Source organism: Homo sapiens, chromosome 7, assembly GCF_000001405.40.
Source record: "Homo sapiens chromosome 7, GRCh38.p14 Primary Assembly".
Classification (NCBI taxonomy): domain Eukaryota; kingdom Metazoa; phylum Chordata; class Mammalia; order Primates; family Hominidae; genus Homo; species Homo sapiens.
Window position 1 is genome coordinate 103,846,133 of NC_000007.14, and position 17,782 is coordinate 103,863,914.

Genomic DNA, 17,782 nt, shown 5'->3' on the forward strand with positions numbered 1-17,782 from the left:
AGCAAAAAGAATGAAGCTGGAGGCATCATGCTACCTGACTTCAAACTATACTACAAGGCTACGGTAACAAAAACAGCATGGTACTGGTATGAAAACAGATATACAGACCAATGGAACACAGCAGAGGCCTCAGAAATAATGCCACACATCTACAACCACCTGATCTTTGACAAACCTGACAGAAACAATGGGGAAATGATTCCCTACTTAATAAATGATGTTGGGAAAACTGGCTAGCCATACGCAGAAAACTGAAACTGGACCCCTTCCTTACACTTTATACAAAAATTAACTCAAGATGGATTAAAAACTTAAATGTAAGACCTAAAACCATAAAAATCCTAGAAGAAAACTTTGGCAATACCATTCAGGACATAGGCGTGGGCAAAGACTTCATGACTAAAACACCAAAAGCAACGGCAACAAAAGCCAAAATTGACAAATGGGATCTAATAAAACTAAAGAGCTTCTGCACAGCAAAAGAAACTATCATCAGAGTGAACAGACAACCTACAAAGTGTGAGAAAATTTTTGCAATCTATCCATCTGACAAAGGGCTAATATCCAGAATCTACAAGGAACTTAAACAAATTTACAAGAATAAGACAAACAACCCCATCAACAAGTGGGTGAAGGATATGAACAGACACTTCTCAAAATTCATGTGGTCAACAAATATAAATAAAAAAGCTCATCATCACTGGTCATTACAGAAATGCAAATCAAAGCCACAGTGCGATGCCATCTCATGCCAGTTAGAACGGCGATCATTAAAGAAGCAGGAAACAACAGATGCTGGAGAGGATGTGGAGAAATAGGAATGCTTTTACTGTTGGTGGGAGTGTAAATTAGTTCAACCATTGTGGAAGACAGTGTGGCGACTCCTCAAGGATCTAGAAACAGAAATACCATTTGACTCAGCAATCCCATCACTGGGTATATACCCAAAGGGTTATAAATCATTCCACTATAAAGACACATGCGCATGTATGTTTATTGCGGCACTGTTCACAATAGCAAAGCCTCGGAACCAACCCAAATGCTCATCAATGATAGACTGGATAAAGAAAATGTGGCACATATACACCTGGAATACTATGCAGCCATAAAAGGATGAGTTCATGTCCTTTGCAGGGACATGGATGAAGCTGGAAACCATCATTCTCAGCAAACTAACACAAGAACAGGAAACCAAGCACCGCATGTTCTCACTCATAAGTGGGAGTTGAACAATGAGAACACACGGACACAGGGAGGGAAACATCACACACCAGGGCCTGCCAGAGGGTGGGGGGCTAGAGGAGGGATAGCACTAGGAGAAATACCTAATGTAGATGATGGGTTGATGGGTGCAGCAAACCACCAATGCATGTGTACACCTATGTAACAAACCTGCATGTCCTGCACATGTACCCCATAACTTAAAGTATAATAACAAAAAATGATATAATATCATGTAACTGACAGATAGGTCAAACTTGGCATTTCTTTGGCAGAGAGAAGAGAGGAGAAGAGACAGGCTTGAGAATATTGGAGGTAGCTTTTAGGACCTGGTGATAGTTTATTTTGGTTTTGTTTTAAAGAAAGCCTTGTTGAGGCTCTTTTTACTCTCCTACATGGCTTGTATTTATATCTCTAAAGCCTCCTCTTCTTTGAGTTTCTGTGGCCTGCATATGTGTAAAATCTGACTCCTAAACTGGAAGTTGGGTTGTGAATTAAACACACAAGAGAGCAGGTCACAGGAGCAGGAACCAGGTGTTAAGGCAGAATATAGTTCTGGACAGGTAGCCAGCATGTTGCCGTTAGTTTCATTTAGCAAAGAAAAGAAAAGACAAAGAATAAAATATTTGATAAAACATTTCTACCTGGAGCTGTTTGTATATGGCAGCAGTCACAGGTTATTTAGATATAACATTGCTAGGGATAATTCTTTTAGGTCAGCCAATCTGGAGGTACAGTTAAAATAATCAGATCCTGTTTCTACATACAGAGGCTTTCTGGAGTTAGACAAGGGTTACCACGCCTCTTGTTCATCACTTCTACTAGGGTTTCATGCTCAGCGTGGGTGATCTCCAGATCATTTACCTGTTTAAATGGAAATTTTGTTTGAGAGCAGGAGAAACACAGCACTGAGATATATTCTTTAATTCTGCAAATAAAATTTCAACATTTAATGAATTGAAGCCCTGGGTACAGCTATTGACATTTTCAGTTGGAAAGCACAGAATATAACCTAATTGAGGGGATTTTAAGACATATAGCTTTTCTGGGAGGCCTGGAGAAGTAAACTTGGGTGTTGCCCAGCAAAGAGTCATGTCCACCCCACCATGGGACAGGTCCAACATAAAAACAACAGCTACTTCCCCCCGAATCAACAGAACTTTCACCGCAGTTATTCCTCCAAAATAAGAATCTTCACTTGATAGAATACTGATCTCGCCATACTGGGTCCCCAGGTCACATTGCACTCTTCAATATCCAGTCTCATGAGGCTGAGTCTGATAGGTGTAAACTAGGTGACACGCCTTCACCCCAGAAAGGAAGGAACTATGGGAATTGTATTTTGGGAAGACTATACTCACAATGTGGGAAACTATATAAAAATGTTGGGCAATCATGGATGGTACATGCCCATTACAGAGGGCAAGTTCAAAATCTACAAAATTTTGGACTTCTTGATCCAAAAGTAGCTAAAATAACTGATAGTTTTTAAAAATTATGGCCTTTAGGACCATTTCCAAGAACCTACACTTTGTGTACCTCACCCCTTACCTTGAATGAGCATTCTGCAATGGGAAGATATTGTTTATCACAGTCAATCTACTTGATGAACAGCAGCAAAAGTTCCCCATACCCTACCTGGGACAGCCTAACAGACTTCCCACAGCCTACCAGGTGTGACAGGGTCACATCATGTCAGAAGATGTGACAGTGCTGTCTGACCCCAGATGATGGCATTATGGACTAAATGTCAGATCCTTTTAACAGTCACAGTTCCTGCTAAATAATGAACATTAATTAGTTTGCATAATATTTGTAATCTCAGTCAAAGCAATGCTATCATGTCTGGGAGTAATTATTGACTACTTTTCCTACTCAATCAATCAACAAGGAGTCATTATTGATTACTTTCCCCACTCCGGTCAACCGATCACCAGGTCTTTCTTATTATATCTTAAGATTTTTTTCAACAGAGTCTTCTCTTGCCTATCCTTCTCACCACTGCATTATTTCAGGCTTTCATTACCTCCTTTTTGACCACTGCCAACAGCTTCCTCTTTGAGTTCAGTTTTGTTTCCTCAGGGAAATTCTCAACACAGCCATCTTTCTAAAATGCAAATATGATTTTCTCATTCTACTGATACTCATATTTATAGATGTAGGTCTAAATTTCCTCAATGTGACACCCTGCGTATCCCCTACCTACATCTCTGGGCTTATCTATCATGACCCTTCTTCAAACTTCATACTCTGTCAAGATGAGACTGTATATAGTTGTAAGTACATGTCTCTCTTTTTGCTACTACTCTCCCTGCATAGAACTGGAGTCAGTGAACTATGGACCACATGTCAAACCTGGGCCACAACCTACATTTTACAGCCCTTGAGGTAAAGATGGTTTTACATCTTAAAAATTTGTAAAACACAAAGAATATGCAACAGAGACCTACCACATATATCCTGAAAAGCCTAAAATATTTACTATCTGGCCATTTACGGAAAAAGTTTTTCAACTCCTGACCAAAACTGTCTTCTTTCTCTCTGTTATGGCAAAACTCCTACTTATCACTTAATAAAACATATGAAATCATAAATCATCTCTTTCAAGAAATTTTCCTATGCAACTCCTTCCTGTACCCAAGATTAATGTTAGGAACATCTCCATAATTTCATAATACCAAGTGAATGGTTCTATCATTGAACATACCAATTGCATTACAGAGGGTTTTATCTTCCCAATGATGGTTATGTGTTATGACTTTTTCTATCCACAAAATATATCATAGGTTCATAACAAATGTCAATGGAATAAACTTTGTTGAAAAGACATTACAATTTATATGAGAGGACCCACAGATGCTCTGAAGGAAGCAGACTGCTCCTGCAGGACCCAGGAGACACCCCAAATACTGTGAGTGCCCCAACTGTGGAAGTGGCAAAGGGAGACCCTCCTCTCCCTAACATAGGCCCCCATTGGAGAAGCTGAAGGTCTGTTTGCGGGAGAAGTTTCCAACTTTACCTAGAGCTGAGTCAAGTTAAAATGCCAAGTCAAGTGAAATCCAGAGGTAGGGGAAGCAGCAGAAAAGCCCTGGGAGCTCGCTGGGTTGCCAGGCGGCCCATTCCTGCCTGGCACCACAGGGATCCATCGAGAGGGTAGCCAGAGGAGCAGAAGGTAAAACTCCACAGGGAGAAGGAATTCTCTAGCTGAACTTTGTAGCAATTTGAATGGGGCGAGAAGCCTCCTGGCCAGAACTCAGGGGAGGGCACAAATCAGGCATGCAGACTTCACAGACGGGGGAAGAACTAAAACCTCTTTCTTTCGCAGCTGGAAGGCATTTCTCAAAAGAAGATATACAAATGGCCAACAAACATATGAAAAAATGCTCAACATCACTAATGATCAGGGAAATGCAAATCAAAACCACAATGTGATACCACCTTACTCCTGCAAGAATGGCCAAAATAAAAAAATCAAAACACAGTAGATGTGGGTATGGATGCAGTGTACAGGGAATGCTTCTACACTGCTGGTGGGAAAGTAAACTAGTATAGCCACTATGGAAAACAGTGCAGAGATTCCTTAAGGGACTAAAAGTAGAACTGCCATTTGATCCAGCAATCCCACAACTGGGTATCTACCAGAGGAAAAGAAGTCATTCGAAAAAGATACTTGCACAGGCGTATTTATTGCAGAACAATTCACATTGCAAAATCGTGGAACCAACCCAAATGCCCATCCGTCAATGACAGGATAAAGAAATGGTGATGTACATATATATATGATGGAATACTATGCAGCCATAATAAGGAATGAACTAACAGCATTTGCAGTGACCTGGGTGAGGTTGGAAACTATTATTCTAACTGAAGTAACTCAGGAATGGAAAAACCAAACATCGTATGTTTTCACTGATATGCGGGAGCTAAGCTATGAGGATGCAAAGGCATAAGAATGATACAATGGACTTTGGGGACTTGGGGGGAAGAGTGGGAGGAGGTAAGGGATAAAACACTACAAATATGGTGCAATGTATACTTCTCAGGTGATGGCTGCACCAAAATCTCACACATCACCACTAAAGAACTTACTCATGTAACAAAATACCACTTGTACCCCATTAATTTATGGAAAAATAAATAAATCCCCCCAAAACAGAAAAACAATTTACGTTATATGCAAGCAAGCAATGTAAATGGAAGGAGCTCTCCGTAGTACTGAAGTCTTTGCTACAGCTTCTTCCTGTGGGGTGCCCAGAAACTTAATTGTTTTCAATTCCTCAATTACCTTCACCAGCCCGTATCAATGCTTTTTCTGCCACTCTTCAGTCAACTTCCTGTAGGATCCTAACTAATTATTGCCCAACGCCCATTCTTTTCCAGGCAACATACATACCTCTTGGGGAAGGCATTAATTGCTCACCAAATAGCTGTATGCTCCTACACATTATCCAGCTCCTTTGCAGTTCAAGTAGGCATTATTCAATCGGATATTAGCAGAAATGAAGTATACTATTCCCTAGTTGAAACACGGAACAGAAAATGTGAGCCCTCTGTGTTCTTTATTCCTTTGTCTTGATGATAACAGAGGCCACATGCTGAGATGGCACAGCCACAATATGGAAATAGTTAGACTGCTGAGTCCCTGTATAAAGGACTACTATGTAAGATTGTTGAGTTAAGCTGAGATTTGGGAGTTAATTTGTTACCACAGCAAGATGGAACTTACCTGATTAATACACCCTTTTAATATAACACTTGTCATAGTCCATTTACTTCTACTTACTTTACTAAATTATAAGTTTCTTGGGAGAAGTGTTTTGGTCCTAGTGATTTTGAAGATCATCACCAATGATCATCACCCAATTGCTAAACTAATGAATAGACTTCTGTTTTTCTCTTCTCCATGATATTTCATACCCTCAAACAGAACAAACTATTTTTTTACAACAGTCAAAGAAAAACTGTAATGAATGTAAGCTGTATAGTAGTAGTCAAGAACAAAGATTGTGGAGACAAATTACCTGTGTTCACATCCATTTCTGTCATATACTAGCTATGTCCTTTGGTAAATTATATGTAAACTCTCCATGCTTCTCTTTTCTCACATATGAAATATAGAAGACAACACTTCACTGGGTTACATAATCAATGTATGTAAAGTGTCTAGCACATAGAAAGTACTATGTAAATGTTGACTATTACTATATTGCTAAAACTTTTTAGGAGCCCTAAATTTCTATCTATGTCCTTAATGACTGACAAAATCAATGACCTTTCTTTTCTGGCAAAGAAACTTCATTCAGTAACTCACCTTTGTTTTTGTTGTTGTTGTTGTTGTTTGTTTGTTTTTAAATAGAATAAATTAAATAACATTAAATCACATATAATACCAAAAAATTAGAGTTCAAATGTGTATCATATTACAATTATTTCAAGAACTTTATTATATATTGGTAGCAGATTATGTACCATAAGAAAACATCAACAGTTAATTAATTCTGATGATAAAATATATTTCATCATGTTTGCAGTTCTTCTAATTCCAATAGTGCCTAGACAAGACAAATAACAATACTTTTTAAAAAGACAAATCTTTTTAAAAGAATTATTTTTCACATGATGTATACTACTACTTTCACTTAAGTTTTATTAAAATTCACACTCCACTGAGGCAATAATTTGAATAATTTGGATCAGAAAACTGATTGTTTCATACCCCTTGAGGCTAAGTGATTACAAATGTAGTCTCAGAAATTCTGAAGTTCCCTCATATTTAAAATAGATTGCGGGGAAAATAGACAAACTCAGCTCTCTAAAAATTGCTATAATCTATTAACTTGAAGTTAGGCAGAGCATGTTGGATTGACTAAAAAATGACATTGAGATTATTTGAATACACATTCACTTGAAAGATCACAAAGAAAAGATTCTTAAAAATTTGGGTTATTTGTTAAAATGTAAATTTAATTTTGTTTCTCCCCTGTAGCTTTCATTTATTTTTAATAAATCACAGGTGATGATGTGAACCCTTCAATATTGCTTTTTCATTCAAATTCTATCATTCCAAGCATCAATCTGAATGAGTATATTTCTACCATATGGCTTCTTTTAGGCTTTATGTAGAAAATATTATCTTTCATGTGAATTTGTAATCAAAAATTGCTTCTTACATTATTGGCAAACCTGACATCATTTCCAGTTTGTATTATTCAAGAGAAACAAATTTATTTTTAAATTTGGAATTATTTCACCTACAGTTTCTAATTGAAAAGAACAGCAAATAATTTTTTTTTTAAATTCATTTATATACCTCTACCTATAGTTGGGAATAAAATATGAGAATTTTTATATTTTAATGTCAAATTTATATGTCTCATAATATACAAAATATGTTAGAACATGAGTTTATTATATAATTTGTAGATTAAAAGTTAATAGACAAATATGTAATTATACATGCATGATAAAAAAGTTTACTAATAGAGGAACCCAGTAAAAAATGGCTACCAAATACAAAGTTACAGCTAAGTGGGAGGAATAAGTGTCCTGTAGCACAGTTGGGTGAGTATGGTTAACAATAATTTAATGTATATTTTCAAAAAGCTAGAAGAAGGGATTTTGAATGTTCACAACACAAATAAATGATAAATGTTTAAGGTGATGGATATGTGAATTACCCCAATTAGATCACTACACAGTGTATATATGTATCGAAATGTCACTCTGTATCTCACAAATATACACAATTATTATGTGTCAACTAAAAATAAAAGGAAAAATTCATTATTTTCTAAAGTTAATGCTTATGTAGATTCACCAACCTGTTTGCTTTTATCGATTCATCTGTTGTAGTCCTTGCTGAAGCACATATTTTAGAGGTTATTTTAGTCCTGGTATGAAAATGACTTTAGTCACCATTACTCATAAATAATCGTTTGGTTAGGTAAAAGACTGAGTTGATGTTTATTTTCCCTTGTACTTTAAAGTCACGATTGAATTACATTCTGAACTTTTTTTGTTTCTGATCAAATGTAGGCTGCTAATCTAGCTGTCATCTCTTTGCTGGTAGTCTTTCTTCTTTTTTCTGATTGCTTTTTTAAAATATTTTTATTGAGGTATAACATACATATAATAAAGTACACAAAATCTTGAAACAAATGGCTACAATTGCTTTAGAGACTTCATCAGGTCAGGGATGAATTAAGGGATTAAGAGACTTAGTATGAAAAAATATCATCTCCCTTGTGACTTTCTGAGATGAGGGAACCATCAGATTCTTAATTTATCCTCTTGTGGTCAGAAAGGAGATACCAAGTATAACAGTGATGGGAATAAGAATACAAAAGGCCTTGATTTGAGTCTACTGCGGTACCCTTCAAGGGAACAAAGAACGTGTCAGGAGGAACACATCCACCTGAACTTGGCAGAATGTGTCTCTCTCATCTGTTGTGGAATTGTAATCTAGCCTGAAGATTCCGGATTTCTGCCAAAAAGGGCTAAAGATGCCCTGAGGGCTGAAGACAATGAAAGATTAGTGCACAAACATCAATAATGCAAAGAACACTATTGTAAGTTTCATAAAAGAAGTATGAATTATTTTGTGAGACCAAAGAGATGGCAAATGCAACTGCTTAAGAGGGAGAATTAATGTATAGCAGCATTTAAATGTATAGAATCAAATGAATGTATCAAATGAATATATCAAAATGAATGTACAGAATTGAATGTATAATATAATTTGAATGTAGAGTATCTGGTGTACAGACTCTATTATAGCAGCATTTGAAACAGGTCTTGAAAGAAAGAGTAAAATTCTCTTGGGAAGTTTGTTGCAAAGGGAACAGCATGCTTGAAGCGGAAAAGTGCTGTTCCCATCCAGAGAACTAACAGGAAGAGTGATGTGGCCGAAATACAGTGGTGTGCACAGGCAGCACACTGTGGAAAACACTGGAAAGGCAAGTGAAGTCAGAATGGGAGGCCATCACTTGCGTCACTAAAGAATGTGTGCCACTGCAGACACAATGGGAAGTGACCACTGGAAATGTGTGTATGTGTGTAAGAAAGTAAAATAGTAGTGGCATCTAAAATGGATGGGTGCAGACCAAGAGAGCACCAAGGAACATGCCTGGAAGATCCCTGCAAGAGGCCAGGCAAGGCATGAGAAGGGCAAGGATTCTATTATTAAGAAGAGAGGCAGAAAGGATTTTGATTTGAATTCCTTGCTTTATGCCATTTATTAGTTTTCTGTAACAACTTATTATAAAGTGAGCGGCTTAAAGCAACATAAATGTATTGTCTCACAGTTCTGGAGTCTAGGAGTCCAACATCAAGGTGTCAACAGGGTTAGCTCTTTCTGAAGGTCCTGAGAGAGGATCTGTCCTGAGCCTCTCTCCTAGCTTCTGGCAGCCTCAGGCATTCCTGAGCTTCTCCATCTTAACATGGCATTCTCCCTGTATCTCTGTATCCAATATGACATCAATCACATTGGATTAGGAGGCCACCCTACTCCAGTATAACCTCATCTTCACTTAACTAATTATATCTGCAATGACCCTGTTTTCAATTAAGGTCTCACTATGAAGTACTAGGGGTCAGGACTTCAACACAGCATTTTGTGGAGATACAAGTCAACCCACAATATGCCTCAAGGGAATGAAGAAGAACCCAAGGAACTGCAGTGTTCCTATTCAGAAAAATAAGAGTTTGACAGTGAAAGCATGAACGGTGTTCTGTGAATCAGAGTTGGGTAGAAGGGCTATTCCTTATGAAGATGCTATCAAATAAGGATAACTCATTTCCTAAATACTGTTTGATTTTACCATTCAAACTTGCCTAAAATACAAGGTATAATAGAATATAATGCCACATAAAACGGGGGAGGGGCAAACTGGAAGAATAGACAGCAGCAGTGGGAGGGAAATTTACATCACAAAGCAAATATGGGCTGGGCGCGGTGGCTCACACCTGTAATCCCAGCACTTTGGGGGGCTGAGGCAGGTGGATCACCTGAGTTCAAGACAAGCCTGACCAACATGGTGAAACTCCATCCCTACTAAATACAAAAAATTAGCCATCTGTGGTGGTGCATGCCTGTAATCCCAGCTACTTGGGAGGCTGAGGCAGGAGAATTGCTTGAACCCAGGAAGCGGAGATTGCAGTGATCCAAGATTGCCCCATTGAACTCCAGCCTGGGCAACAAGAGTCAAACTCCACCTCAAAAAAAAAAAAAAAAAAAGAAAGAAAGAAAGAAAAAAGCAAATATGTTGACAAAAATATCTAGAAAAAAATTCTAGCTTTGCAATTGGAAATCGTATATAGGAGTAAGCATGGCTTTTTCAATTAAGCATGTCTGTGCCTTTAAAGAGAGACCAGTGCTGCAGGACACTTATTCCTCCTTCCATTTAACTGGAACTTTGTATTTGGTGGCCAAATATTTTTTACTAGATTCTTCTATTAGCAAATTTTTTTATCATGCATGCATAATTATATATTTGTCGATTTATGTACTTTTAATTTGAATATGTTCCTGTTCTAACCCATCATCACCCATACTTTAAAATATATATATTGAAAAATCACTGGCTAAGGTAAACTCTGAAAGAACATATAAACATTTACAATATAATGATCATTAAATTTGTCATTTAAAGGCTTTCAAATAGGAGGAAGTAACTGTACCTAGCAAAGGTTATTAGTAAAAACTATCCTAGTTGGTTACTTGCCAACTCAATTAACTGCATTACCCCTCTCTTGCAACATATGTTATTGTCTGCTTATATCATCTGCTCATATGCCAAGCAGAGATTAGGTCTGCATTATAACAATGTAGTTTCTTAGAAACATGTCACAAGAGGCAACATCAAGATCTCTTTCTAAAGACTTACTGCATAGCTAGGGAAGACCTCTATCTAAGCTATCATTGAATATAAATTTTATGAATGTTTTTAAGAAATGAGGAGAGCACCATAGCAGTATTGTGATTGCAATCACATTCCTTGAAAGGCTGTGGTTGCAAAAAGCTCACCCATAGTCTCCAGTTTTTAGAGGAAGTTGAATTGCCCTCTTTTAAGCAGACTGTGTTTTCTTCTCCATCCAACATGCAGGGGTGTAATACAACCTCACCTGGGTGTAGAGGGATTTGCAAACACAATTCCAATTACAAGGAACAGGATATGCACACGTAAGGGCCTGCCCAGAGAGCTGCGAATTCACCTTCTAATTTGCAGTGTTGCCCCCAGAGGCTGAGTATGAATCTGCCTGCATATGGTGAGTATGTGGATGCTTGTGCCCAGTGCACCAGGTGGGAGCTATGGAGCTCACAGTCAGGGAGGCTGAGCAGATGATTTACAGCTGACATCTAAGTGCTCCTTAGAGGACCGCCAAGCACTGCACTAAACACCACCAATCAGGCAAATCCAGTCGTGGTAAACAGGCTTGGCATGAACAACAGAAATAAAATATGCTAATCAGTTGTCCTACTCCATGAAAATAAGTCAGCAGGGAAGGAATTGGGGGAAAAAAGCCACATCTTTAAGACTTTGCAGAGGGTTTTGGTTAATTTTTTACATTTCTCTCTAGATATAACTTCACTGATATTTTTATCCTATTTACAACATAGTAATGTTTTATAAAACTACCCTCTTCAATGGTTTCTTTTTTTTTGAAATCTTCAAATCCCCTTCTATGTCACCAGAAGTTAACTATGGCATCTGAATAAATGTATACATGTATATAGTGTCTAGTTTGTTCAATAGTCTCTACAGGACGCAGTGTAGTGTAATGGTTAAGTACAACAGGGCTGGCACTCGGCAGCTTGGGCTCGAATCCTGCCTCTACCACTTCCTAGCTGGGTGGCCTTGGTCAGATTTCTTAAACTCTCTAGGCTTCTGTTTCCTCATCTACAAAATGGGATTATAACAATACCTGGTTTTTAGAATCACTGGGAGGGTTAAATAAGTCAGTATAAGCAAAACTCTTAGTATAGTACCTGGCACATAGTAAGTGCCCAGTAAATGTTAGCTACTATAATTCAATATACTGTCTGTTCACCTTTGACATGGTAGTTGTATTATTAACAAATATAATATTATAAAATTTGAGTAACCAAGCCAAATACTCTGATGGCTTGTAATGGGGGCTAGGAGTTAGAAGCATTTAGAAATAAGATAATTTTCATGGAACTATTAGAGGCTTTGCTTTTGTTTTGCAGTTGGAAGAATATATTATGAATCCTAAACATCATTAAAACAATATGGCATATAATACTTAGCTTATTTACATGAGCCTTTCCTTTCTGACCTGCACCAACACTGTCATTAGTGCATCCTTTACTGTACATCCCTATTTCATCACCTTGATTACTCAGGCTTGAACACACAAAATGCAAAGACGCTTCCATGGTGTAGTAGCGGTGCTCTAACAGCTTTCATTTTTCATTATAGCAAATGTGGACAATGTGATACAAATTTTAGTTACCAATGAATTGAGTCTTTTATATCTAGCTGGCCTTAGAAATGAATAGCCCTACAGGAACAACAACAACAAAAAACTCCTGTACATTTTACTATACTTAATGAAGATGCAAACACAGGCTTGCCTAGAGAACAGAGAAAGAAGAAGACTGGAGGTGAAAGACCTCAATTCCATATTTTCAGCTCTTCATGACTGTGAACAGTCATTGGAGAATGTAGCAAATACTTGCTCCTTTTCACTTTAAAACTGAAGTGGTAAAAATAAACAGGTCAGGTGACTGGGGAGAAAGAAGTAGAGAATAATACATACATTATCAGATTAGCTTTAATAAGAAAAATATGTATGTTTTGGGAATTTCTCAAGTGTGTGCAGAATTCTAATATTAATACCAGTCAAAGAATGGACACTTCAGTGTCACCATGATAACACCTGGCACATTTGGAATCTTCAAAGGTTTCATATTTATTTTATTTATTTATTTGTTTTGGGACAGAGTCTCACTCTGTTGCTCAGGCTGGAGTGCAGTGGTGCGATCTCTGCTCAGTGAAACCTCCACCTCCCAGGTTCAAGTGATTATCCTGCCTCAGCCTCCTGAGTAGCTGGGACTACAGGCACCCACCACCACGCCTGGCTAATTTTTTGTATTTTTAGTAGAGACAGGGTTTCACTGTGTTAGCCAGGATGGTCTCGATCTCCTGACCTCGTGATCCGCCCACTTTGACCTCCCAAAGTGCTGGGATTATAGGCGTGAGCCACGGCACCCGGCCAAAGGTTTCATATTTAATCTTACGAAGATTTGATTAAAGATAATATAAATAGAATATTAATTGGGTTTTTAACAACATGGCACACACTATATCCAATTTCATTGCATTCCCCATAGTGAAACAACTTTATGGCACTTGAACTTTTCTTCACAAATTATAGAGTTCCAAGCCTAACTTTGTTTTCATATCAAATGTTTAGCAAGTTTTTAAAAATGTGAGTAAGTGGAGCATAGAACACAGTAAGAAAGGTTTCAAGATTTGTTTGGCTATCACTGAGATTACACAGATAAAAGAAGATATCCAATGTAAGACACCAAGATGACTTCATTAAAAAAACATGTTCACAATGACAACAATTAACATTCCTCAAATCCCCATGAACAAAATATCAACCCTATGTAAGTAAACCATTAAGCTCTATCCTCTAAAGGCATGTAGTACAATTACTTCTTTTATTGGCGTTAAACATGCGAGCTTAGCCACAATAAATTAAATCAGTCATACGTTGTTCATTATATCACAAATATCAATGGAAATTCTTAATATTCCCAGATGTTTCTATCAATAGAAGTTGGTAATTAATGATGACAAAACAAAAATCCAAAATAACTTTATACTCAACTCTCAAAACACTTAATATTCATCATATCATGAATTCTGTGAGGCAAATATTTTAACACTTTTTTACTATATTCCCTAAGGGATTAAGGTATTAAGTTTTTGTTTTAATTATAATATGTAGCAAGCCAATTATTATATGGAATAAGGCAGTAAATGAGATCACGCTGCTTTATTGTTCCTTTGATAGTACTGAAACCTGAATGTTTAGATGCAGAAAAATGTGTAATGAGGACTTGTTGAAGAACTCTCTCAAGTGAGGAGGTAGTTTCATTAGGCTAAAAATAATAATAAAATTAGAACTACGTTTATTGATGCTTACTATATAACTTGGATTTTAAAAAAATCCTCACTGCAACTCTGTGAAATAGCAGCAGCAGTATGGCAGACGTGGCTTATATTGGCTAGAGAAAGCTGATTGTACACATCTCTTCCCAAGATCCACCTGTCTCGGCCTCCCAAAGTGCTGGGATTACAGGCATGAGCCACCGCACCCGGCCCCAATTATAATTCTAAAACAAAAATATCAAAAAGAGTTCTATGAGAAAAACTAAAACTTAGCAATGTATTATCATCATCATCATCATCATTAAAAAGATAAATGACTTGCTGACTTCTGGTCAACTTCCTCCAAGTAATCAACATAACTTTGCTATGAAAAGTTCATGACACCTTGAGGATAACTACCATGTTTTTAGCATTGTAAAATTTAATAACAGGAATATGTATATAAAATGCAAAAATAACAAATATAACAAAAATAACAACAAAAATCTTATATCCTAGTTGAGGACAAACAATATTAAAGCACAAGACAGAAGATAATTGCCAATTTACAAATGCTAAAGTAATGACAGAGTAGGATGTATTCTCTTCTCCTTGCATAAAGTGAGGAGGGACTTTTAAAATAATAGTTTCTTTTTTTCTGATATACACAGTTATTATCATTGAAGGTACTAAGATTCCTAGAAGTTGGTGTTAAACTACACTTTCAATTCTCTGTGAAATCTTATCTCAAGCAACTACAAATATTATTCAAGTTTTTTAAAAAAATAATTGTCTCAAATCCCTGGTATACTAATAGGCTCTTGGGGTTCAAAATGAGGAAAGAATGCAACATACTACAAATTATTGCATTATTATCAGTTTGGGGATGGGAAGGGAAGAGGTGGGACTTCAAAAAGCCTAAAGGTTGGCAGAGCCTATGCTATGAATCACAATATTTGGAAATAGGTAAATTTTAGGTGTCTCAGTAATAGGTATATTTTAGAGAGTGGCACGCTGCCTGACTATATACTAGGTAACATGTAGTTGCTGCAGTAAGGCTGGCCATTTTGAATCAGGGAAACTCCTGCTCACCAAAAGGAAAAACCTGTTTACATTCCAAAGCAAAAAGAGAAGTTCCACATACAGGAAGTTGCCAACAGTGTCACATATTGCGAAGAGACCCAGAAAGGTGAGAAATCAAAAATAGGTCATTGGATTTGGCTCATAGAATGTCACTGTTGACTTTTATGAAAGTAAAATCAATAGTATGATGGACAAAAGAAAGCTTTATAATAAGTTATGAAGTGGGGAGTAGAAGATGAGGAAGTGAAATTACTAAGTGTAGTATTTTTACATAAAGTTTGGTGATGAAGGAAAGCTGGGAGGCATGATGATAGTCTTAAGGCAATGTAAGATCAACTACAGGGTTTATTTTTTGGTTTTGGTCTTTGGAGGATGTTTGTAAGCTAAAAAGAAGCAGAAGAGAGGAAGAAATTAAAAATAAAAACATAGAAGTATGCAAAAATAAGGTGAAGCTTTGCCAGTGGAGGGCTTATGAATGAATTTGGTGGCTGCCCATCAGTTACAGCTCACTGTGGTCATAACTCCAACCTCTCTTGGATAAGGTCAAGATGTAGGAAATCCGAGGAGAGTGAAATAAAACAAGTATAAATTTTCTAATTAAAGAAGGAAAAAGCTAAGATTATTCAGGTAGTACAGAATGGCTGACCTTTCAGTATATGGATCTGAAAGTGCTTGACTGCCAGTAAAGTTGAAATATTGCAGCATTATCTGAGTATTTGTATGTGATTGCAGTTGATAGATGTTCATAGTCTTCAGGTGGATAAAAGGCAGCTGTAGCTGAAAATTAATTTGTAATTTTGGTATTGGCCATCCTATTATAGAACTAGTCTCTTCCATTTATGCTTTTGTTCTATCTATCTATCTATCTATCTATCTATCTATCTATCTATCTATCTATCTATCTATCTTCTCAATCTTTCTCCCTCTCTGGCTGTCTCACCCCATGTTCTTCCCACCCCTGTCTCTCTGTTCCTTTCACTCTCATGCCTCTTTATCTTATTTTTTCCCCATTTCTCTTTTAGTGTTTTCACCTTTCAGGTTCTCTGATGGTTCCCACTCGTATCTCCAGTGCATGTCATATGATGGGTCTTCATTACATTTCTACTGAAATAAAAAAATTTAATTTCATGCCACAAAGTCTTCTCTAAAGTCAAATGTATTGAAACAGAAAGCTGAGAAAGAACAGAAATCTAAGCCTTGGATGTCCATTGGCAGCCAGGACACTGTCTTCCAGCAGTTGGGTGACAGGAGCAGATGGTCTAAAGGTTGGTAAAAACACTTGATTTGTTGCAAAATAGGCAGGAAATCAGAGAATGGACGTGGCTGTTCTCTCGGTAGAAGAATGTAAGGATTACTTAGGGAGAGCCACATATTGAAGAGTGACCATCTATTCAAGTTCATCTCAACAGTTACTGGGGGTCAGAATGTCCAACAGGCTAGGCAGCTAGAGCGCTGAAACAGGCCAAACACCAAGAGGGCAAAAGGAAGAAAAGCTTTAAGAACTCAGTCATCTACTATTAAGACAATAAAGCTCATCAAGAGAGACTGAAACGAATAAGCAACAATGTGCGCCACCAGCAATGATCAGCTTGGCAACTCTGATAAAAAGAGGTGGATCATTTTGAGTGAAGGTGTCAAGATGCTTATGAATCTAAAAGAGACATGACGCATAAAAGCAAGAGGAATAATTATAATCATTATAGTATCTTCAAAAGACATTTTTGACACATGAACCATATGAAAGAATCATAGAATGTTAGAGCTGGAAAGGGCCCTGGAAGCATCTGACCTAATCTCCACCTTTTACAGGTAAGGAAATTAAGGCCCAGAAACATGAAGTGATTTGTCCAAGGACACAGAGGTCATTAGTGAGAGAGAACAAACTGGAATGCAGGTCTCCAAGGCCCAGGCTGCTATTCCAAAAATCCTGTATCCCTGCAATGGGAGTAGTTTTTTAAACAGCCTCACATCAGTTTTCTTAACCACATCTTCACATCAGTTTTCTTAACCACATCTTCACAGGACACTAACCCTTAGAGCTTTGAGGAAGAATTTTATAAAAAGCTTTGGAATGGGGCTGAAAGAGAGGGCATCCAAAGGACCCCAGGTGCATTCAGGACATTTCCTAACCTAAATCTCCTCTGAGATTAGTAAAATGGACATTATTAGCCCCATTCTACAGATGAGGAAGTTTCACTCCAAGACCATACGATGGAATAACATCTTAAATTTCACATGAGATAAATCCTTTGCAATCAATTTTTTTTTTTTTAGAAAAAAATCCTCTAAGTTTTGCAGCACTGGAAGAAATCACTGTTTTGTTGGCTGAGCACCAGATTAGGTAGCAGGCTTTC

General features: G+C 37.3%; 1 protein-coding gene across 2 annotated transcripts in view, besides 1 other annotated feature; it reads right to left on the reverse strand.

The window, feature by feature from the left end:
- RELN (reelin) overlaps positions 1-17,782 on the reverse strand; it is a 517,870-nt gene that overhangs the window by 374,344 nt on the left and 125,744 nt on the right. The gene's annotated exons all lie outside the window — the stretch shown is intronic.
- Positions 11,290-11,584: a silencer, noted in NCBI's record as "tiled region #1232; K562 Repressive non-DNase unmatched - State 12:CtcfO". NCBI's record gives its function as "represses a minimal TATA promoter and a strong SV40 promoter by Sharpr-MPRA in K562 cells {active_cell/tissue: K562}" and the evidence as "EXISTENCE:reporter gene assay evidence [ECO:0000049][PMID:27701403]".